This window comes from Homo sapiens, chromosome 18, assembly GCF_000001405.40.
Source record: "Homo sapiens chromosome 18, GRCh38.p14 Primary Assembly".
In the NCBI taxonomy this organism is placed as follows: domain Eukaryota; kingdom Metazoa; phylum Chordata; class Mammalia; order Primates; family Hominidae; genus Homo; species Homo sapiens.
In genome coordinates, this window is record NC_000018.10 from 6,391,191 (window position 1) to 6,415,665 (window position 24,475).

General features: G+C 42.9%; 1 protein-coding gene across 23 annotated transcripts in view, besides 1 other annotated feature; it reads right to left on the reverse strand.

The window, feature by feature from the left end:
* The window catches only part of L3MBTL4 (L3MBTL histone methyl-lysine binding protein 4), a 460,543-nt gene extending 436,474 nt beyond the window's left edge, over positions 1-24,069 (reverse strand). For 16 of the 23 annotated variants that reach the window (NR_158610.2, NR_158609.2, XR_935072.2 and 13 more), the window contains exon 1: positions 23,611-23,721. The gene's annotated coding sequence lies outside the window, so the exon portion shown is untranslated. Of the gene's footprint in view, positions 1-22,769; positions 23,427-23,517; positions 23,722-24,012 lie in introns of those variants that run through there. The other 7 variants (XR_007066253.1, NM_001365765.2, XM_047437914.1 and 4 more) reach the window with 3 other exon arrangements.
* Positions 23,224-23,763: a silencer, noted in NCBI's record as "silent region_9267". NCBI's record gives its function as "represses an Ori minimal core promoter by ATAC-STARR-seq in GM12878 lymphoblastoid cells {active_cell/tissue: GM12878}" and the evidence as "EXISTENCE:reporter gene assay evidence [ECO:0000049][PMID:35858748]".
* Positions 24,070-24,475: the final 406 nt, after the last annotated feature.

A 24,475-nucleotide genomic window follows, 5' to 3' on the forward strand; every position in this document is an offset into this window, starting at 1 on the left:
AAGAAATGTGACACATCACACAAACAGAATTAAAAACAAAAACCATATGATCATCTCAATAGATACAGAAAAAGCATTTTATAAAATCCAGCATCCTTTATGATAAAAACCCTCAACAAACTAGGCATAGAAGAGATTTACTTAAAAACAATAAAAGCCATATATGGAAAACCCACAGGCAATATCACACTGAATAGAGAAAAGTTGAAAGCATTCCCCATGAGACCAGAACAAGACAAGGATGACCACTTTCACCATTTCTATTCAACATAGTGATAGTAACACTAGTCATAGCAATCAGACAAGAGAAAGAAATAAAGGGGATCCAGATTGGAAAAGAGGGAGTCAAACTAACACTGTTCACCTATGATATGATCATATGCCTAGAAAACCCTAAAGATTCCTCCAAAGGCTCCTAGATTTGATAAGCAAATTTGGTAAAGTCTCAGGTTACAAAATCAACGTACACAGATTAATAGCACCACTAAATACCAACAATGACCAAGCCGAGACTCAAATCAAGAACGCAATCCCTTTACAACATCTGCAAACAACAACAACAACTACTACTACTACTACTACTACTACTAGGACTATACTTAACCAAGCAGGTGAAAGATCTCTACAAGGATAACTGCAAAACACTGCTGAAATAAATAACAGATGACACAACAAATGGAAACACATCACATGCTCATGGATGGGAAGAATCAATATTGTGAAAATAACCATACTGCCCAAAGTACAAATTCAGTGCAATTCCTATCAGAACACCAATATCATTTTTAATAGAATTAGAACAATCCTAAAATTCATATGGCATGTGGAACCAAAAAGGAGCCCAAATAGCCAAAACAACCCTAAGCATAAAGAATAAATCTGGAGGCATCACATTACCAGACTTCAAATTATACTATAAGTCTACAGTTACCAAAACAGCATGGTACTGGTATAAAAGTAGGCACACAAACCAATGGAACATAATAGAGAGCCCAGAAATAAAGCCAAATACTTACAACAAAAGCATACAGCAACATAAATTGGAGAAAGGACACCCTATTAATAAATGGTGCTGGAGCCAGGCGCAGTGGCTTACATCCGCAATCCCAGCACTTTAGGAGGCCAAGGTGGGTGGATCACTTGAGATCGGGAGTTCAAGACCAGCCTGGCCAACATGGCAAAGCTCCATCTCTACTAAAAATACAAAAATTAGCTGGGCATGGTGGCACACGCCTATAATCCCAGCTACTCAGGAGGCTGAGGCAGCAGAATCATTTGAACCTGGGTGGCAGAGGTTGCAGTGAGCCAAGATCGTGCCACTGCACTCCAGCCTGGGCAACAGAACGAGAGACTCTGTCTCAATAAATAAATAAATAGTGCTGGGAAAACTGAATAGCCACATGTAGAAGAATGAAACTGGATCCCTAATTCTCACCCTATACAAAAATCAACTCAAGATGTATCAAAGACTTAAGACCTGAAACCAAAAAATTCTAGAAGATAACCTTGGAAAAACTCTTCCAAACATCAGCCTAGGCAAAGAATTTATTACTAAGACTTCAGAAGCAAATGCAACAAGAACAAAACTAAATAAATGGAACCTAATTAAACTAGGTGAAGTAACTCAGGAATGGGAAACCAAATTCCATATCTTCTCATTTATAAGTGTGAGCTCAGCTATGAGGACACAAAGACATATAGAGTGGTATCAAGAACTTTGGAGACTCAGAAGTGGGGAGAGTAGGAAGGAAATGAGAGACAAAAAAAACTACATATCAGATACAATGTATACTATTTGGCTTATGGGTACATTAAACCTCAGAATTCACCACTATACAATTCAACCATGTAACCAAAAACCACTTGTAACCCAAAAGTGATTGAAATAAAAAAAAAAATTTTAACTATAAAGATAATAAACCCCCTATAGAGCCTACAGACATCATATTTAATTTATGCGAATTCAACGGGCCAAATGTAATCACACATTATATGAATCACAAATATTTGCTTTTTTAGATATGCAACTAATTTCTCTGTGCACTATCTCACGTTAGCTTTCTGTGATGCTCCTAGGACAGAAACTTAGCCCCAAACCGGAATTCAGCGGAAGTAAAGGATAAGCCTGGTTCACCTGACTCCTGCTGAGTCCAGGCTCCTGGATTGTGTTCTATGCCACCTAATTCTCACAGGGAGCATGAGTGGTGACACAGGGAGAGGATCAGGAATAAGCTTGAAATGAAAGCCCACAATGCTCCAACAACTAATGCTAATGCTAGAAGCTAACATTTATTGAGTACCAACCGCATGCAGACCTGTTCTAAGCACTTTCCACAGGCTAACTCACATTGTTCTCCACCCAAGACTATCTCCATCTCAGGCGGCAACACTCTCAGGACAGTTGCTTAAGCCAAACACCTTGGAGCCATGGGGGGCTCCTCTCTCTTCCACAGCCAATCAATCAGGGAATCCCAGTGGCTCTCCTTTCAAAATAAATATAGAATACAGTCACTTCTCACCACAGACGCTGCTACTGCCCTGGTTGGAGCTACATCATCTCCCACCCAGATTGTGATCATAGCCTCTCCAGCAGGCTCTTGGCCTCCACGGCCAGTGATACTCATAAAGCCTAGGTCCATCCCTGTCAACCCTCTGCCTGACTCCTGCCAGGGCACCCCGTCACTATGAATATGGAGCCCTCATGTGGCTACAGAGCACTCCATCACCTCTACTCCCTCACCACCTTCCGCTCTCCCCTTGCTCACAAGGGTCTCCTTACTGTTCCTCAACCAAGCCCACACCCGCTGGCCTCAGGTCCATTCGAGCTGCTCCTTCTGTCTGGAACTCTTTCCCTAGACACCATCACATTACTCCCCTCTCCTTCTCACTACCCTTTCAACACAACAATCTGCCCCCAGCCCAGTGCTGCCACTACCTTTACTCTATGTTACTTTGCTTTTCCATAACATTTAGCACCTTTTAAAATGATAAACATGGCTGAGTGTGGTGGCTCACGGCTGTAATCCCAGCACTTTGGGAGACCGAGTTGGGCAGATCACCTGAGGTCAGGAGTTCGAGACCAGCCTAGCCAATATGATGAAACCCAGTCTCTATTAAAAATGCAAAAATTAGCCGAGTATGGTGATGCACACCTGTAATCCCAGCTACATAGGAGACTGAGGCAGGAGAATCACTTGAACCCAGGAGGTGGAGGTTGCAGTGAGCCAAGATTGTGCCACTGCACTCCAGCCTGGGTGACAGAGCAAGACTCTGTCTCAAAAAATAAAATAAAAAATAATAAAAGAAAACGATACATTATTTACCTGTTTGTTATGTTTCTTGCTTATTGACGGCCTCTCCCCCACCAGGACACAAGCTTCACAAAGGACCTTCACCTGTTTTGCTTACTGATGTACACAAACATCTACAGCAATGCCTGACACACGCCAGGCACCCAATAATTATTTGTGGAATAAAGAAACTAGGCATTATACACCAAATACTGTATGATTTAATTGGAAATAATGCCACTATAAATAAATTTTATAAATCTAATAAAAGCAAAAATCAACCCCTAAAAAAGAGAGATCCCACCTCACCACCAAGAATAAACTGTCCTCAATTCTCCCATACAAGACTATTTTTAACTTTCTTCAGCACACATCCATGGGACTATATGAGATAGAGGGAAAAGATCATTTGCTTGCAGTTTGCAAATGTAATCTCATGAAAATAAATTTATCCTCCCTTCAATACACAAAAGAATATAGATCTTTCTTTAGAAATTTAATGATTCTCAATACCTTGACATACATGTAGATGTCTTTCCCCAATATCTTGTTCCGTTACTTCATAAAATATTATGAGGCTGAGTGCAGTGGCTCACGCCTGTAATCCCAACACTTTTAGAGGCAGGAGGATCACTTGAGGCCAGGAAGTTAGGCTGCATTGAGCCATAATGGCACCACTGCACATGAGCCTGGGCAACAAAGTGAGCAAAGTGAGACCCTGTCTCAAAATATTTTATTTATATATATATATGAGACTATTACATCCAGGACCACCTTCAATATGGGCAAATGATCATTATCCATGAACTCACAGCCTCATTTCTCCCATCACACAGCAGCAGGTCAGCTGCCCATCTGTCCTACCCCTATCCATCCCATTCTGCTTTCCTTTCTACCTGCTTCACGAAATGTTCTGGCTTCTCCTGGCAAAAGTGGCCAAAATAATTGCCCCCTTTTACTGACATATAAAGGGGGGGAACAAGAGGAAGGGAAACTTTCTCTTTTATTTTAAAAGTGTATTACTAAGTAAAATGATGTGTCTGACACAAAATGTGTGCCTAAATACCCAACTTACTGTTCTCGGTCCTAAAAAATAGGCACTGCCATATGATGTATTAATTTTAATCATGGTCTCAGATAATATGATTAGTAGCAGCAGAATTTGAAAAGTTGAGGTAACTTTCACTTTGGGAGGAGTAAATTCACAATTAAACACTGCAAAAATGGAGATGCAGCTAGCATTTTTGCTCCACAACAGCTAAATACATTACCATATTACATGGGTGTTCTACACTCGGTTTTGTTTTGATCATTTTATAATTTAACTCCCATGGATATTATCTACAATAAAGATGCGGAAAAGAACAAAATGTCGTAAAATGATTCTTTCCCAATGTCTTAAAATAAGTACTGAGCAAGACCAAGACGTCAACCGAAGCACTTCTAACTACTAAAACTGTCATATTCACAATGCATCTTAATCTGTGTTTTCTTCCATCCAGGGTTAAAAAAAATCTAATCCATATGAATTAAGAAATAAAATGTTTGCATGGCCAGTATAGGTGAGAAAAAAAATAAGAAAGAAAATGCTATTTTAATCTTATTATAGGAAATGAAGCTAGCCACATTCTGAAACTGAATTTTCTGTATTTAAGCATTCAGTCATGAGAAACATCTCCCAAATAAAGATTCAAACAGGGCTCTTCTTATAAAGATTAAATCATTCTTTTAATATCATTCAAACAATGCACAAACAGTAATTGTACAGCCCATGGGTAATCCAAAGCTCCTAGGAACCCCCGTCATGTAGACTAGTCTGACTTCTTGACTACACAGTGTTAGACTGACCATGCAGGACCTTGGGATCCCAGTGGAAGGTGCCCCTGGCAGGGATGGCACAGCCCCTTCTGCAGCCCAGACACCCGGAGCCTCATCTGCTACCACCCACCAGGTTGGAAAGTGTTTGGCCTGTGCTTGGCACCTCTTGAACCACCCAGAATAGTCCAAATTGTTCTCTCTACAAATAAGGTTCAAGAGGGTATGGATTTTGTGTGCAGGCTCCAGCAGCTAGTAAGGAAGCACCATGTGTGACCATGTGGAAACCACCCCTGTGACTTAGACAGGCAAAGGCATCAGTGGCATTGTTCTTCCTAAGAAAAGAATGTACCTCTCAGTATGTGTTTATTTATTCTTCTGGGGAATAAGCACATGTTACTAACTATATCACCCATTGGGGCAATATTGCCATCCATAAAAGTGTTTCTAACAACTGACAATCACTTTCTGACAGTTACTTAACAGTAGCTATCTTCATACTATGTTCTAAATGTTTTATGCTTATAAAGTCATTTGATCTTCAAAACAACCCTCTTCTACAGGGAACTGAGGCACATTACTAACTAAGTTACTGCCATTCACACACCTACAAAAGGCTAACCAATGAGTTAAAGCCAGGCAGGACTTTTTTAATGTTTCTTTATTCAGTCAAACAAGTAAACGTTTTAAGTGTAAAAATAGATGTTTAGGAATTCTGAGAAACTAAGCAAAAAATGCTGATGAAGCATGAGTAGAGAAGCCAAATATACACACTAAGATGAAATGCAGATGAACTGAGACACCAAAGACAGAGAGGAAAGGAGTGCAGCAAGCGGCCGCACTGAGCAGACAGAAGGACCAAAGCACAGAGCGTGCATGTCACATCTTGAGCATGCAAAGCACGAGACCAGGAGACAAGCATTAAAAACAGTAAATGTACTTCTCTGCAGAGTTCACAGAAAAAAAGTAAATAAGCACATTATCTTATTTAGAAAACGATTAAGAGCTACAAGCAGCCTATACTATGCTGAGTATAACAATCTGAGAAAACTAATGTTAACTGTTGTCCTTTTTTGTCTATAGCTATGTGTAATTTGTTTTGTTAATAGTTCTTATTTAAAAAATCAAAGTACCAGGACAATCCATAATCCAATCTTTATTTCAAATATCACTGTCCGAAGAGCCCAAATTGAAAAATCTCTATCAAGAAAACAACTGTTCACAGTGTGGTATCGTAAAAATCATTATAAAATCTATATCAAAATTTTTCAGGCTAGGCACGGTGGCTCATGCCTGTAATCCCAGCATTTTGGGAGGTCGAGGAAGGAGGATCGCTTGAGCTTAGGAGTTTGAGACCATCCTGAGCAACATAGTGAGACCCGTCTTGACAAAAAAAATAAAAAATAAAAAATTAGCCAGGCATTGTGGTTTGCACCTACAGCTCTAGCTACTTGAGAGGCTGAGATGGGAGGAACGCTTGAGCCCAGGAAGTCAAGGCTGTAGTGAGCTATGATTGCACCACTGCACTCCAGCCTGGGTGACAGAGCAAGACCCTGTCTCAAATAAAAATTTAAAAATAAAAAGATAAAAAATTTCTTACATCTGAGAAGTTCCATAGTAACCCCTCCTCTTCACTGTGTCCATTCACTAAACATTGCCACCTGCCCTTTCTTGGGAAGAAAAATCCATTATTCTGAGATGGTTTCCCTCTTACATTTTTGTTGTTAAGGTTATCTTCTTAAGGGGAAGTAATAAATGGTGGCTTGTTTGTTTTTTGTCTGCATGTGGAAAATTAAAAGTTGGCAACTCTCTCAAGGCTGCAGTGAACTGTGACGGGCACCACTGCACTCCAGCCTGGGCGGCAGAGCAAGACCTGACTCCAAAAACAAAAAGAAAAAGTTGGCAACTCTCTATAAGCTCACGTATAGTTTTAACGGTATAGAAAACAGTCGCAATTGTGGAGGCCTCTACTTCAGATACTGAGTGTTAAGAGGTCAGAGGACAGAAAAGGGAGAAGTGGCTCTGTAATGAATGGCCTGTGGCAGGTTAAGACAAAAGAATGCTGGACAGCACCCTCATCTGCAGGTGGAGGTGTACTGTTTGCAAGCAGGTGCTGAGTGGAGCATCATCCCATCCTGGGTTCAAAATGCCAACAGCAAGGACAAGGGCTGCCTGGGATCACGTCAGGCATAGGGCCTCTCTGGGGAGCTGAGCTCATAATCTGTTCTTTGCACATCACAGAGGCAAAGAAAGGATAAAGGCTCTGAAATAGTCCTTTCCTCTGTCTGACTTCCTCGCCTTCTTGTTTTGGTAAAGCATATGCCAGAAGTCTGAGGCTGGCAATCCTGGCCTCATTCAGCCTATAGATGTTTTGATTGTGCCTCACACTATTCCAAAACCCAGGAAATTACACACACATTTTTTTAATTGGATTTCAGACTTCATTGCGGGGGGGCGGGGGCGGGGGAGAAAAAAAAAGAAGACTCAAACTCCCAAAGAGCAGCAGTCCATTGTAGAGGCCCGAAAGACATGCGCCCCAGGCACCATGAGCCACCACTGCTTCCCATCCTAAGGCCACTTTACCTACTCAGGGGATCTGCCAGACCTGGAAGCCAGCCTCTGAGGACCCCAAGGGAGCACCCCAGTGTTTGTCCAGCAATCCAAAAACAACCAGCCACTTTCTGCTGGTGGGTTGGAACATATGCTTCAATAACACACCAAACATGTCAAAATACATCACCTCAAACTGGTTTCCAATGTACTTTTCCTATTTATTTTTAATCTGGCTAGAACTAAATAAGGCCACATGAAACCTCTTTATATTTTAATTACACTTAGCCAAACCTTTGGAAAGAAAAAGGACACTGGGCTTGGTGGCTCAAGCCTGTAATCCCAGCACGTTGGAAGGCCGAGGAGGGGAGATCACGAGGTCAGGCGTTCAAGACCAGCCTGACCAATATGGTGAAACCCCATGTCTACTAAAAATACATAAATTACCCGGGTGTGGTGGTGCATGCCTATAGTCCCAGCTACTTGGAGGCTGAGGCAGGAGAATCGCCTGAACCCGGGAGGCAGAGGTTGCAGAGAGCCAAGACTGAACCACTGCACTCCAGCATAGGTGCAGAGCAAGACTCCATCACAAAAAAAAGAAAAAAAGAAAAAAAAAGGAAACAGTGGCACCTAACTGTATAAGTGGCTTTGTTCTTGAAGGTATATTAACTGCATAGTAATTGTCAGCCATAACCATTTATTTCCAACTCATTTTAATCTCAATTGACTAGATATAATTTAGCAAAGAATATTCAGCAGTTCCCATCTTCCCAAAAGCTACCAAATGCCAAGTGTCGGCTATACTTACATCTTAGAAAATAGCAAACTCTCATTATTTTAGGTAATATAGCTAATGGAGAATTAACAGAGCAAATGTTGTTCAGCTAACCTTAATAAGACCCTTCATGGTCTCTATATGATATAATGAAATATTCAGAATACCAATAATTTTGGCTCCTTCCCAAACCATTTCTTCTATTACAGAAATTCTGAGTTTTTGATTACCTGAAAAACACAATGGTTTTAGTCAATTACAATTTTCTTAAATAAAAACAAACACAGAAATCTTCAAAACTGATGGCTAGGAGTTAACCACCACTAATAACTCTGACCTTGGGAAATCACTGTGTAGCAATATCAGGACATGTTTAAAAAAAAAGAGGAAGAACTGAAATCTACATTAATTTCTATAAGTATTAAGTGCTACAGAAATACAAAACAAGCTTTTACAAATACATCTAATATAGTGCTATAAAGAAATGTGGTCGAAAATTTAAAGTTAGGAAGTTCTGCATCATGACCTTGAGAAGTTGTTTTATGTTAAATGTATCACAAATTACACTATTGAAAAGTTTTGTGAAACTAAAACAATTCAATATGCCAATTTCCTCCCTTTCCTTTGCATCTGGTTTAAGTCTAAACCCAAATTAGTTGATAAACCATTGAATGCACTTTGCCTGGGTGTTTTCACACTTATCCTGTAGATATAGAGTGAAATAGACAAAAAAAGTGACAGAAAGTCCAGGGGTTATATTGAAGAAGAGTGACCAAAAATCCATGGGTTAGGTGTGTTTTTGTTTTAGAGACAAGGTCTTACCTTGTCATCCAGGCTACAGTGCAGTGGTGCGAACATGGCTCACTGTAGCCTCAACCTCCTGGGCTCAGATGATCCTCCCACTTCAGCCTCCCAAATAGCTGGGACTACAGGCGCATGCCACCATGCCTGGTTAATTTTTTCGTATTTTTAGTAGAGACAGGATTTCAACATATTTCCCAGGCTGGTCTCAAATTCCTGGACTCAAGCAATCTATCTGTCTTGGCCTCCCAAATTGTTGGGATTACAGGCGTGAGACACCACACCCGGCACAGGATTTTGTAAACTACTTGGGAGGCATCCCAAAAGCTCTGCTCATACAGGCAATAATCAAGAAAATGGCTTCATGCTCACTCCCAAAATCAAGCAACTGGGAACTGTAATCTACAGAGAGGTTCAGAGAGAGACAAGCCACCTGTTACAGACCTCAGGTGCTGACCACGGGCAGAGCAGACAGCAACTGACGCAAAACCTAACTCGTGTTCTCTTCTTGAGCACTGCTGAGTGTCGAAGCTGAGACTCACAAGGTGTCCTCAATGTACACTCCTAGAGCAGGACACTGTCCTAAGCTACCTGATGCTGCCAGCCTACTCACACTTCCATCTCCCATCATTAATTAGCAAAAGACTTCATAAAACCACGTGCCCTACCCACCCTTCAAACACAATCTGACATTATATTTGGCTCTAATTATACAGTGCCAAGCAAGCTGAACTTAAGAGGAATATGCCTTTATACATCTCACGGGCAATAATGACTATTAAATCAATAATAAAATGATCGTATTCGTATGAGGTTGTGTGGGTATTTAATAACAGCACGTGGCACATACTAATTTTTAGACTTTATAAGCACCGTTTATAGATATCACCAAGTATTAATTTTATATGTAATGCTGCAGACTCTGAATTTTGACTAGATGTCAAAAACCATTAAAATATTACCTTGTGGAAATCTGAGTCCTTGTTGCTCCTTACAGCATATTCACACTGTAAGAATGTACTGGAATCCAATCACACCCTCATCCTCTTCCCAAACCACGAAAAGTGCACAGGGCAAAAAATGCACCGGGCAAGAAGACAGCTTATAGAATGCAAAGTACAGCTTATAAGAGGTAAAGTTCAAACGAGGAAAAAGCACATGAGGATTAGTGTATTACAGCCAAACTATATATGGGTAAGCCTCACAGCACAACTAATTTTCTCTAGGATAATAAGGCACTCACTTTGTAAAGGTGAGAGTCAATAGGAAAAGTGCGCCCTGTGCACACCCACAAGGCGGCTCTAATATTTGAAAAGCATCCCCACATACTGTGTGGTGACACCTCCAGCATCACCAAGACCAGGCTAACGTGGGCACAAAGGCATTAAGAAATGTACAGGCAAGTGTGCGGTGTGCAAGGGTGCAGTAGGGCAAGGGTGTAGAAGAGCTCCATAACCAGAACCAGGGGCGCAGCGCCATCAAGGGGCCGCTGTGACCTCAATCCAAACCTCCACAATGAGAAGTTGCTGTGGAATCAAGGAAGCGGAGACATAACTTTCAAGCTAGTATTATACTTCTCTAAGCCCATAGCTTCAAGTGGCAGTAAGCCTAGGCAGGTAAGACATGAATTTCTGTTACTTGTTTTTCTCATAATGATCAATATCTGCATCAGCATAGAGGCATAAAATGTCTAAACAGGACTTTCCTTAAAACAAAATTCCAGAGTGTATACATTCAGATTATTTTTATCTCTTCAAAATAAGTACCTCGGGGAGCTATATACATTTATTCCACTGATGTTTCACTATTAAAAATATTGTTTAAATTCATTGCACAATCTACATTGCCATCTCTCAAAGACAATGTAGAAATGATTCCTGTATTGGCCAGAAAGTTAAGATAGAAAGTTCCTAAGTACGCTTACAATTCTAATAAATTATTCTGGCCTTCTAGAAATAATATAAGCATCTATGATTTAATAAAATATAACTCAGTCTTAAATAACAAGTTCAACTCTTTATACACACACAACCAAATATTATATAACATCCATATAAGTGGTCACTCAATTGCACACCTCTCTCTATTCTACAAAATCTATCTACAAGGCAGCCCATTCCAACTTTAGACAACTTACTCACTTTAAGCTAAAAACAAAAAGTTTAACCTCTGGTGCCATACAGAACAAGGTTTGAACATAAAGTACACAAATCAGAAATTTAATCACTAGTGATTAAATTGACTGTGACTAATTTAGACTAAGTATTGCTTAGTCATTCACCGAAAAATAGAATATCCATTCATATTTTCATTTCAAGGCGGAAGTTTTAGAAGAATTAAGATGATAACGTTTGAGAGTGTCAGAATTCTTACAGAATAAAAGGTTAGTTTATATAAAATAATATTCTTAAAGGGAAAGAATAATTGATTATTCTAAACTCTGAGCGAAAGTAATTTGCCCTTCAGCAAACCCTCTGTCTTTCATCACTGCAAATAATCAGTAGAATTTATTTACCTTTATTTATCAAACCAGTAGTGCTCAACAGAGGCAGAGGTAGGAAAGAAGGGGGAAGTAGGTTACCCCCAGGGGGATTTTTTAAATATGTGTGGGGTTTCCTGAGTGGCATTTAAAGGACACAGGGCCAATGCTGCTAGCATTCCCATATGTGGGACAGTTCTTCACAGCAAAATATCATCTTGCCTTTTGCACAGCTGGAGCAACCCACTTGACATTTATGCGTATGAAAAACCTATTTATGCTTCTCTAAACCTTAAGCCTACTTCCATTTTACATATCATCAGAAAGTATTTTTGCATATTTAACTAATTCCTGTCTCTCCCAGGAATGCAACTCTGTGTATATTAAGTAAAGGCTTTACTTTGTTTTGTGCAGAACTTTAGCAAATACTGTTCACCATTTCAGAAAATGATATCATGGAACCCAATGCTGTTCAATGACTCTCCCTCCCCGATGTAGTCCACCAATAAAGCATTTTCACTGGTCACCTTCACGGTGAATCTATTATAACCTATTATATTGGATACAATCTATATATTGGATGCAGGTACAAGCATCAAACTACTTGATTTTATTCTCTAGGTTAGTCATGTCCAGACATTTTGAAGTACATATCATTTTACCATAAATTACACATATATTTTTCCATTGTATTATTTATGCACACTATATATTCACTTTTCTGACAGTATGTATAAGTAAGTTATTTACCTGTCAATTTCATTTCAGGATACTTAGAGAAATGTTACAAATATTTGTTATCAAAACACTAAAACTACCATTTGATCCAGCAATCCCACTACTGGGTATCTAGCCAAAGGAAAAGAAGTCATTATAAGACAAAGCCACATGCACATGCATGTTTACAGCAGCACAATTCACAACTGCAAAAATATGGAACCAACCTAAATGCCCATCAGCCAACGAGTGGATAAAGAAAATGTGGCATATATATACCATGGAATACTACTCAGCCATAAAAGAAAATGAAATAATGGGCTTTGCTGCAACTTGGATGTGGCTGGAGGCCATTATTCTAAGTGAAGTAACTCAGGAATGGAAAACCAAACATCAAATATTCTCACTTCTAACTGAGAGATGAGCTATGAGGACACAAAGGCATAAGAATGATACAATGGACTTTGGGGACTTGGGGGGAAGGGTGGGAGGAGGGTGGGGGATAAAAGACTACACATTGGGTACAGTGTACACTGCTCAGGTGATGGGTGCACCAAAACCTCACAAATCACCACTAAAGAACTTACCCATGTGATAAAAACCACCTGTTCCCCCGAAAAGCTGTTGAAATAATTTTTAAAAGAGTCTGATTAAGTTGGAACCCCTGATCCACAGAACCTCAGGAACGTCCTTCCACCTTGGTTCTTTCCATATTAGTTTCAACAAACAAATGAAAAAAGAGCATAGGGGACAAGTGCACCCCAAGCCATTCACTGACACATTTATTTGTATACCTGGCAGGGGAGGAGGGAAATTCAGGCTCTGGGAACAAAGATAAAAAGCTCGATTTCTGTTCTGTTCTGCTCAATTTCTTATTTTTAGTCCGAGAAGCTCTTCGTGGCCTGTAGAAAAGTGCCATTCTACAGAAGGATATGCTAGTCCTGTGCTTTTATTTAACTATGGGGACCTTCATTACGGAAACCTTGAAGGGAACTGGATAAAAATCAGGAAAATGTCAAGAAGGTCAGTAAATAATCTCAAAATAATTTATAAGCAATTTCTTTTTCTTCATTTTTGTTTTTCATTTGAGATAGGGTCTCATTCTGTCACCTAGGCTGGAGTGAAGTGGCTCAAACACAGCTCACTGCTGCCTCGGTCTCCTGGGCTCAAGGGATCCTTCTGCCTTAACCTCCACGTAGCTGGGACCACAGGTACATGCCATCGTGCCTGGATAATTTTTTTTTTTTTTTTGAAGAGACGAAGTCTCACTATGTTGCCCACGTTGCCAGGCTGGTCTTGAACTCCTGGGCTCAAGCAATCCTCCCACCTCAGCCTCCCAAAGTGCTGGGATTACAGGTGGGACCCACCACACCCAGTTAGCTATTTCTTTTTATTTGTATTTTTGCTGACATGTTTAAATGCTTAGGCTAGGGAAAACTTGAAGAACTTTTTTAATGCTCATACACAAAGGCATACATGTTTTGGTGAATTTATGATCTTCACTTTCAGTATAACACCCAACTAGGACATGCAAAGGCAAGGACAGAAATTTTTCAGTTTTCAAAAAGTGAAACAGATCTTTCTTTTGTGCCCTACGGCAGCAGTGGCCACGTAAACAATAGGGAAATAATACAACCATGAAGATAGCTCCTCTTTGCAAGGGACTTATTAAAACCTTGCACTTTTCCTTCCCTCCATAACACATGGTCTCTGGAGGGAGCGCAATGCGATCCAGCTGACAAAAACAAAAGCTGGCGTGAAGGTAATGCAGCCCTGCCGCTCTGCGACCTGCACAAACAGCTCCTGATGTACCATCTGTGGTGCAGAACAATAGTGCCTGTCACTTAGGGCCTTGGCAAGGATATTCTCACTCACTAACTTTTGGAAAGCACACTCACTCCCTTTCAGTGTCAGCACAGGCCCTGAGCCCGAGGGCCCACTAAACCCAGGGGCTGAGCCTGAGTGCCTGCTAAATACAGGAAATGAGCCCGAGGGCCCACTAAACACAGGGGCTGGGCGCGAGGGCCCCCTAAACACAGGGGCTGGGCCCGAGGGCCCCCTAAACAGCTCTTCCAGCCCCTCCCAGTGCCACTGTGAATAGTAAGGCATTTCTAAGGAGAGAGGTCTGAGTGCCTCCTGCCAGCACCCATCACAGGTATTGAGGAATGCAGCTGAAGAAATAAACCTATTAATAAGCCAGTGATTTTCCTGTACTGCCATGCAAAGAAGCCTCAAATTTGAATCTATCCATGGTTATGAGTTTCCTGGAACAGGTCCAGTCTGGGTGTCTGTGTGGTCCTCCTAATATCATTTACATTCCACGACCTACCACAGCCTTGGCCAAAGTACACACTAAGTAAGCATTCAGGGAATGAATGAATGTACTCTTACTTAGCAGCTGTCTATATTACTGGCTTCATGATTTCCAACTGTGCAAGTGCACTAAGTATTAATTATTACTCTAGAATGAAATTCACCAAGCTACTGAACACAACTTTATTGCAAAATCTGGCTATGAAAACAAAGGTTGACATGACATCATAGAAAACCTCGTGGACTGGAACCTGGTGAGGAAGGCCAAGTCACAGCTCCAACTCTGCCATTACTCAGATGGATAAATGTGGGCAAATTGGTCTTCAAACTGCTATTGATAATTTTATGTCTTCACCACAGTTTGATTAACAATCATGACACTTGTACTTGGCCAGTCATGGCAAGAAAGAATCAACGGGGACCATCTACTATCATTAGAACATTTTACAAGAGAAAAGGAGTTTTGAATTGATAAAAAGTTCCCTCCTTGTAGAGAATGTGCTTTTCGATTCATATTCTGACATAGTGACTTCTGAGCCTGGAAACATTGCATAATACAACCGGACCTCTGATGTGTCATCTGCAAAACAGGCTGGGTTAAATCAGCAGCTCAGGACTTCGGGTGATTTTACCCCTCCACCCCTCCCCAGAGGACAGGAAGAAGTGTCTGGAGATAGTTTTCGTTGTCACAGCTAAGGAGGGGGAGGTGCTACAGACATCTCGTGAGGTGAGGCAAGGAACACTGACTGCTGCTTACCATCCTACCAGGCATGGGGCAGCATGCGAAACAACAAATTCCTGTTAACTGTACCGAGATTGAGAAACCCTGGATGAGATTATTTTTAAACTCCCTAAAATTCAAAAAATGCTGAATCCAAATGTGTAACTACGAAAAAAAAGCCTTACAAAGTTGCTAAATGTGGGACATCAGAAACCTCTTCATAAGCCATAGCTGGCCTACAGCTACTCTGGGCTGAAAGTTCTAGGATCTTGAAAGACAATTTGTTTGGAAATAAATGCAATGTAAAGCTTTCAAAGCAGTGCCTACTAACCTCACACTTTGCGCATCACGGTGATTAATGTGTAACTGTACCCTTCACAGCTTCCTTTCTTTGTTCTCTCGCCCTTTACTCCACAGTGATGGGCATTGTTTGTTTTGGACACAGATGCAAGCCAGTTCTGAAAAGACGGACAATTATATTCTCCTTGTCCTCATAGTAAAAGAATAAAGTGGCCCTAAAGATTACTAATGATCGACTGCAGTAAAATAGATGGGCATCACCGATTCACACAAAACACAAAGACCACAGCAACTGCTGAAGTGGGGACGCTCCTTCGAGTTCTTGGTCTGTTAACCTTAACAGTTCCTCTTCTAAGCTGAATTGCATGTGTGAACCTGCCCAAAAACAGTCACATATCTTCTAGGAATAAAATCACAGCAACCTATAGTTTTAGAAGAGAAAGGGGAAAAAAAATCATTGTTCTAACCATTCTCAGAAATTGAGTGCATAAAATATAGACTTGGAAGTACTATGCTGGCATCTCCAATAATTCACCTTTATGATATCAAAGGCCAAGACTAAAGGCTATAATGATAGAGAATTAAAGGATATTCTTTGCCTTTGTATTTTCTTTGATACATGATCATAATTATAATAAAATGAACAGCTGAAAGGTCAGTGCTTAAATTTTCAATAGAACCCAAAGTCTTAGAAGCCTACACACAGAATCCCAAAATGTTAGGAATTTTGTAAGATTTCTTTCCTGAGTAAGCTTGTCACTAGTTGACACAAAATCACTCATCCTTTATTCACTGGGCATCTAACATGTGCCAGACAATTGCTAGGCTCTGGAAATAAATGGCAACAAGCCCTTACTCCACCCAACAAGTTTTCTGGAGAACATAGAAAAGTAAAATTCCACACCTCAGAGTGCAATTGTGGACGACAACAGTACATCGTGGTAGGAAAGCGCACAGTATGTATAGTCCAGTCTCAAGGAGGCTTGGAGCCTCCTTAGAGGAGCAAAATTCACAAGAAAAGCAGACACAAATGTACAAAAGCCCACCAGAGAGAGAAGATACCATCCCCTCCAAACACACAAAAAGGAGGGTGTCCATGAGTTGCACAAACCATTAGACAAGGAGTAAAAAAGGCAGACTTAAACAATGGAAAACTGTGAAAAAAAATTCACAGAAACATGAATGAAAGTGTTATAAAGTTTACATTGTTCTCAACCTGGCACCAGGATGTGCTCACAGTCTCAGGCTTGGCCAAATTTCCCACTCCCAACTCCCAGATTTAATCAAGTCACAATTAAATGGCAGGATCAGCAGCAATAAGAAGCCAGTACGTTCATGCACAGTCCACATTCATGGTAAATAAGAAAAAACAATCTAATTAAAAGTAGAGTACATCCAGCTAATTATATAGCTGACCCCACCAGCAAGAGCTTATAAATTGTGGACCAAAAACTGCATCTGGTCAGCAGACAGATTCTGTTTCTCTTAGCAGTATCCTAAGATATTTAAACCAGTATTTTAAATACAGAGACTTCACATTTTTAAAACTGCAGATTTCCAACTTCAGTTTTGTTTATTTTTTAAATAATAGCCACCTCCTTTAGAACATATAAGATCCACAGTTTGCTGCAGTCTTCACCACTCTCTACTGCCTCCAAAGCACTAAGGGGATTTTCTCACTATTTCTCACAGTAGACAAATACCTATGTCCAGTTTTCTTTTTTTCTTCTTCTTCTTTTTTTTTTTTTGAGACCGAGTCTCGCTCTGTCACCTAGGCTAGAGTGCAGTTGTGCAATCTCGGCTCACTGCAACCCCCACCTCCCGGGTTGAAGCGATTCTCCTGCCTCAGCCTCCTGAGTAGCTGGGATCATAGGCATGCCACACCAGGCTAATTTTTGTATTTTTAGTAGAGATGGGGTTTCGCCATGTTACCCAGGCTGGTCTCGAACTCCTAAACTCAGGCAATCCACCCTCCTCGGCCTCCCAAAGTTCTGGGGTTACCGGGGTGAGCCACTGTGCCCAGCCTTGCCCAGTCTTCAAAGGTAAGGAAAATGGAAGTGAGACCAAAAGAACTCTGAATTTTCTTCTGTCTGCCTACTTCCCTTATTACCTTCCTTTAGACATCCAAATTGTTGGCCCTGGATTTAGATCTTAACGCCATTTGTTACACAGCACCAAGTGAGTGTACCAGGTGTAACCAGATTAGAAAATCAAAGCCAGGAGTCAGATAGCTGCTCTTGTATGAATGGGCTTTAATTGGCATCAGCACTAACCTATATCCATTAATACAGGCCTGGAATTGTGGCTATAATCTGGTCCTTGATTTTTACTTAGAAATAAATCATCATAACAATAATAAGGACCAAATACTATTTTTTATATGTTGTCACTCCAGGAAGTACTCACAAAAGAAGGAACGATGAAAATTAAGCAATGGCTCATAATTACAGAACCATTGACCCTTCAGGAACTTGGAAGGTCCCAATATCAGCATCAGTGTTGGGGCTCTATGCTGCAGGGGAAAATGAGATAAAAATGGTCCATTCGGCACATCCAATAATGCAGACCATCTGATCAGGACTGAAAAGCTACCACAGAGGCTCTTGATGGCACACTCTAAGACTGTATGTGTTTGGGTGCATGTGCCCATGTACAGACAGACTGGGAGTTCAAATTCAGGAGGGTTGTTAGGCCTAGGGCCTAAGCAGAATATCAAAACCCACCATCACCGAAAAGGGGAAAAGCCCACATTTGCTAAGCTCCAAAACCATCTGCCTAGCACAGTGCTGAGTGCCTGACACACACCACAACTACACCAAGTTGTCACCTTAAAAATAACCTATTTCCCCTAGGGCTCACACTGGGGAAATGATCCAAGCAAAGTTACCAGGTACACTTCTCCCCAGTCTTCCCCATCTCCAAAATTCACTCCACTTCTCATGCTAGAGATCAGAGGAGTAATCCTGGATTCTTCCAATTCGCCTACCCTCTAACCCATCAGCAATTATATAAATTACACCTCCAAATTACTCAAGTCCCTCCACTTCTACCCACTTCCATGCCCCGCTCCCCGGCCCAAGGTCACCTCCCTGACTCCCACCTGGATACCTGCAATGGCATCCTAACCAGTCTAAATAAGCTGCACAGTCCTTAACGAGGTCTTCCAGAGGCCTCCAGCCATCTCCCACCCAGGCCCTGCCCTCCTGTCTCAGGGCCGTCTCTCCTTCCTCCAGGGCACCAAGCTTTTCCCCACAAACCGCCTTAGGGGCTTCTCTCTGCCTGAACTTCCTTTTGCTTCCATTCCCCACCTGGCTAGCAGATACTCATCCTCAGGCACCTTTTCTGGCCCACAAATCTGCATTACGCACTCACGTGGGTCTTCTTCAGGCTTACTTAAAGTCTGTACTTACATATGTTTGGCTGATTAGTTGCTATCTGTCCCTCACTGGACTACAAGCTCCATGAAGGCAAGCGTCATGTCGGCATAGTCACCCCCATACACACAGTGGACACCCAACAAAAATGCCTCACCCCTAAGTTCCTTAATACACTCAAAAAAAAAATAAAGGACTGGAGCAATGCTGATTTAATCTAAAAAGCTCCTGTCATGATCATCTTAAAAGCTATCAGAATAGCTTACATACCAAAATACTGGGTGTAAAAGTGTTATACTCTCTATCTGTCCCTCTAGTTAAACACATTCTCTCTGGCTAGTTACAGTGAAAAGAAATGAGATGCATGCACTGCTGTTCATCTCCTGCGGTCCCCACCTGATACTTTTCAAACAATTTATTAATCAATTATTAATTGTGGCAGCGACCACACTTTTATCATTTCACATCCATCTTCAGGAGGGATACATAAGCATTGTCAGAGTTTGCCTCATTACTTCCAGCCTCATTAAGAGAATGTTTCCCATGTGAGCTGAGATCAACACAAAATGAAGAAGGTTCACCAGGTGACACTGAGCAGGGCCTCCATTACGGCGACATCATCCCCAAAAGGGACACATAGGTCAAGGGAACAGACCTGTGACAACTCTGATGGGCTCAGAGTTAAGGTTTCACTTTTCCATTGCTACCGTGGAAAAAATCGTTTGTATTTGCATAATAAAATATGGATAAATTATCCTAAGGCACTATCCTTTAAAAAATTAATGCAAATGCTTAAACAAAAGATTATATGTGTATAAGTGAACTGAAGAGCTTCATTTCCCCCAAGCATCTTCTAATTTCATCGTTCTGCTTTATTTTGCTTAAGTACAAGATGCCGATATTTATACTGCTTGCTGTTATTCACTGTAGTAAATAGTGCATTTTTTTATGGACCTAAGTAGTTTTCTTCAATTGGAGGTATGTTCCTATAATAAACTATCCTCAAAATATTTTTGCCAATGCTACAAGATGGAAATGTTTTGTAAAGTGTAAAATGCTATTCGAATGAAGGGAGGACATCTGTATTCCTCAAACAGAAAGCAAAACATTTACCCACAGCTTGCACTGATGTGTTACCACTGAGATCACCTCTTTTTAGCCAAGTTCAACTTCATCTTCTCAGCGCCTATTTTTTATTAGCAACTGACAAGACTAACCACGCTGTTCCCTCCCTTCCCTCCCTTACTTCTCCACTGGCTTCCCTGTGACTGAGACACCTGGTTTTCCTCCCCCTCAGACCACTTCTTAGTTTCTCTCACTGACTCCTTTCCTGGGCATGGACCATAGCCATGGAACTGTTCTTTTCTCTCAATGCTAGTTTAGTCACCCTAACACATGCTTTTTAGGATCACCCCCATAGTCGCTGAGTATTTCCTAACTGGCTTTCCCCCGATCCAACATCAGAGTTTCTCTCTCCACTGAAAAGCCATTTCAGGGTTTTCAATTCAGTGGTTTTCTGTTGTTTAAGGATGAGCCAAATGATATGTTTAGTTTTTCACAACGCAAAATCATTTTGCTTTTACCAAAATATATTTCCTATAATATATTAATACATGATATAAGCATTACTAAAATAATATTTTAGTAGAGTAATTTGATAAATGCATTGTTTTAACTTTTCTTTTCAGTTAGGGTACGTGTGCAGGTTGGTTACATAGGTAAACTTGTTTCCTGGGGGTTTGTTGTACAGATTATTTCATCACCCAGGTATTAAGCCTAGTATCCATTAGTTATTCTTCCTGATCCCCTCCCTCCTCCCATCCTTCGATAGGTCCCAGTGTATGTTGTTCCCCTTTATGTGTCCATGTGTGCTTATCATTTTGTTCCCACTTGTAAGTGAGAACGTGCAGTCTTTGGTTTTCTCAATCCAGTGTTGTATAAATGGAATTTATCCTTTCCACCCTGCCTCCAGCCCACCAAACCTACCTCTCCTGCTCACTCCCCCACTTCACCAGCAGCAGCATTCTTTCTTAATTATAATAATTAACTGAAAGAATGAACACTTATCTAATGGCGATTTTCAGACCCTCCTTCGGCTCTCTGGAGAACAGAAAACTTAACCCACTTGAAGGAGTGATGGGGGGAGGAGGGATTGAAGCTTCTGCTTCCTTGGTCAGACTGGGTGCTGGTGCTTCCTACGCAGCCTCCTGGAAGTGGCTTTCAGGTTGGCCTTTTCTTCATAGGAAGAACTCGAGGGCTTTCCATCAGCAAATCTTCCTTCAGAGTCAGCCTGATCTCCCTCACTGTTGCTTTTATCACCTCCTGCCTCTGCTCAGCAGTTGTCTGCTCACATACGGACTCGGTCCTACGAGTATTTGTTGAGCATGCACTTACCCACGTGCCAAGTCCCATGCCAAGCAAAGGAGGCTTATTACCACCAAAAAGGAGTAAGAAGTGTCGTTTAAGATATAAACCACACAGGTACTGTAATGAAGTTATACAGATGTTACAGAGCACCTAAGATTCTTATGAGAACTTTAAAATATGCAAGCTTACTTCTCTTTAAAGTGAAAGTTAAATGAGTTTCCGTCTCTACAAAAAAAAAAAAATTAGAAAATTAGCCAGGCATGGTGGTGCACAGCTACCCTCCCAGTCAATAGGCTGAGGCGGGATCCTTTGAGCCCAGGAGGTTAAGGCTGCAGTGAGCCATGATGGTACCACTGCACTTCAGCCTGGGTGACAGAGTGAGACCCTATCTCTAAAAAATAAAAATAAAATGTTTAAAAAGTGAAAGTTAACACAGTTCCTTCACTTTCATTACCTCTGTCTTCACCAGATCACCTTCCCACCAATACCCTTTCTTTGGAAACTGAGTGAGAGCACACTGCAGAGGTTAACCAAGCTGAACATTTCTTGTGACCCCAATATTGTACAGCAAAGTGCTAAGTGATTCTGCAGTCAAGGGTTACATGCAATACATCCTCAATGTTGCCTCACATCTAAGAGCATAATTAATAGCAGTTTTATGTTCATCTTCCTTCCTACTCAACCATTACACACCAAGTCAGTGTAGTCGAATCCAATCCCTTTGGATACTCCAAGAAAAAAACCTCTCCTCTTTCAACCGTTTCTCCTAATTCTGTAGTAATATAAGGAATGCATTCCAAGTTTTTAATATTACCAAGGGCCAAAAACAACTCTACTGTACCCACCACCTGTTTGTCACCTTAACCTTTTTAGGTGGAATAGATTAGAAAACCGAAGAGCCACACTACACTTATTTCAGCCAAGGACTGAAACTGGAGCCTGCCACAAGCATCTTCTAGAACAGCTCCAACAGAAGGATCCAGGAGATGGGCCACCAGCAAGTCATAGTGGAGTCCAAACAAGTGTGAAGTGAGAGCGAGTCTTCAGCATGGGAATGGCCGAGTGGGTCGTGGTGACCAGCTGCCTTCCTCTGACTGTTAAGTACAGCAGTCTCAACAGTAACAATGACCAGGCCTTCCCTTTATTTAGTTCCACCTCGGGGCATTGGCGCATTAAGAATGTCCCTCTAAAGGCATATGTAAGATAAAGCACACTTCGCACTTTAACCAGTGACTAAGGGAGATCAAAAGCAGGGGACAATACCCACCCGGAATTTGCGACCTCGCGAAAACGCTCTCACCAATCCCGCAGGTAAGTGCGGCGCTGGCCCAGGTGTGCCCAGCTCGACTCGCGTCCACCTGGGACCAAGCGGGCCCAAGAAGGCCCGGAGAGCAGGCGAGGGCGACTGTGGCCGGCGCGCCCCCCGCAGTTCCAGGCGGTGGCAGGAGCCTGAGAGCCGCCGTCCCAGGCTGGCCAGGCGCCCGCCCGCCCTGCGCGCACTCCCTGGGCTCCCGCTCCCGAGGCTGGGCAGAACTCGCAGAGGAAGACAAGGGCAGAAAGCGGGTGGAGGGAGGCAGCGCTCGCCCGTCCGGGCACACGACACTTGTCGGCTGAGGGGGACACGCGGGCAGACGGGGGCGTTAGCCCCAGAGGAAACAAAAGCCAAATGCCCACCGCCGGGCGCTCGATGGCCGGAGGACTGCCTGGGGGCCCTCAGGAGTCCCGTCCCGTCCCGCTCCCCCGGTCCCAGGCTGCGCTGGCTCCAGGGCGCCCAGGTAGCCGCGCCTGGCACCCCGACCCTGCCCTCGCGGCTGACCGAGGCGCCGGGCTCTGCGGCGGCCGCGCCCGTCCAAAGTAGGCGACAAGTGAGGCAGCGCCTCTCGCGGGGAGCCCGGCGCGCGCCCCGGCGGCGAAAGAGAAAGAGAAAGAGCCTGGGCCGGGACCGGGGCTATCCCCAACCGCCACCGCCCCCACCGGCCCGGCCCTCGCCGCGGGAGTCGTGCAGGCCCCTCTACCTGCCCGGGGATGGGGCCACCCCGCGCGGCGGCGGCCGTGGGCACCCACGCGGGCTCGCGACCATCCCACGCGGGCGGCGGCGTCCTTCTTACCCCCAGCGGAGCGGCGCCTGCCCGCAACGCCGACCGAGCTACAGGCGGGGGGCGAGTCGGAGCGCGAGGTTCCGCCAGCCCAGGCTGCGGCGCCGCTGCCCCGCGGTGCCCGGCGGGAGGGGCGCGAGGGTGCACGCGCGGGGTGGGGGCGCGGGAGCCGCCCCCTGCCCGCCCCGCGCGCATGCTCCCGCCGCACCTGCCTCGCTCAGTGTTCCACACCCCGGGGAGCCGGGTGGCGCTGGGCCCGCCGAGGTCGGGGCTTTCCCATGGGAGGGAGGTGGCTGCGGCGGAATTTTCAGATGCGTCCTTCTCTGTATTCGTTCCCTGGGAAGGATTCCCCCAAATCTTGGCTACTTCCTGCCTGCCAGCTTGCTCCCTGGCAGCGAAGTCCCAGTAGCTCACCCATGCTTCATCCCAGCTCTTGGGGTTCACCGTCTGAAGGCTCTCTCCTCCGGATCCCTCTCGGTCCTGCTGCTCGCTCCGATTTTGCAACCTCCCCCACTCCCCTTTCCTGCTCTTGACTTTGCTACTCACGAGTACCTGGATACCATTTCCAAATAAAAGAATACTCTTTCCAAGTGGCAAGCAGTGTTTACTGACCCTGTTCTAACTGCTTGGAATTGAGCAGGAAACAGGAGCTGGGTAGATCCTGCCCTCATGGAACTTATGGCCTTACTGGCTAGCTTTGGCCTTTCTCAAAGCATTGTCTCCCAGTTTGGGAGGACTGTATTAAATCATTTATTTTGGCTTACAAATAAAGGTAGCTGATAATTGAAGACTATATGTTGTGACTTTTGAATGAAATGTTCTTTCATAGGACGCCTTGTGTATAAACCCTAGTATGCAAATAATAAATAGTAGGTAC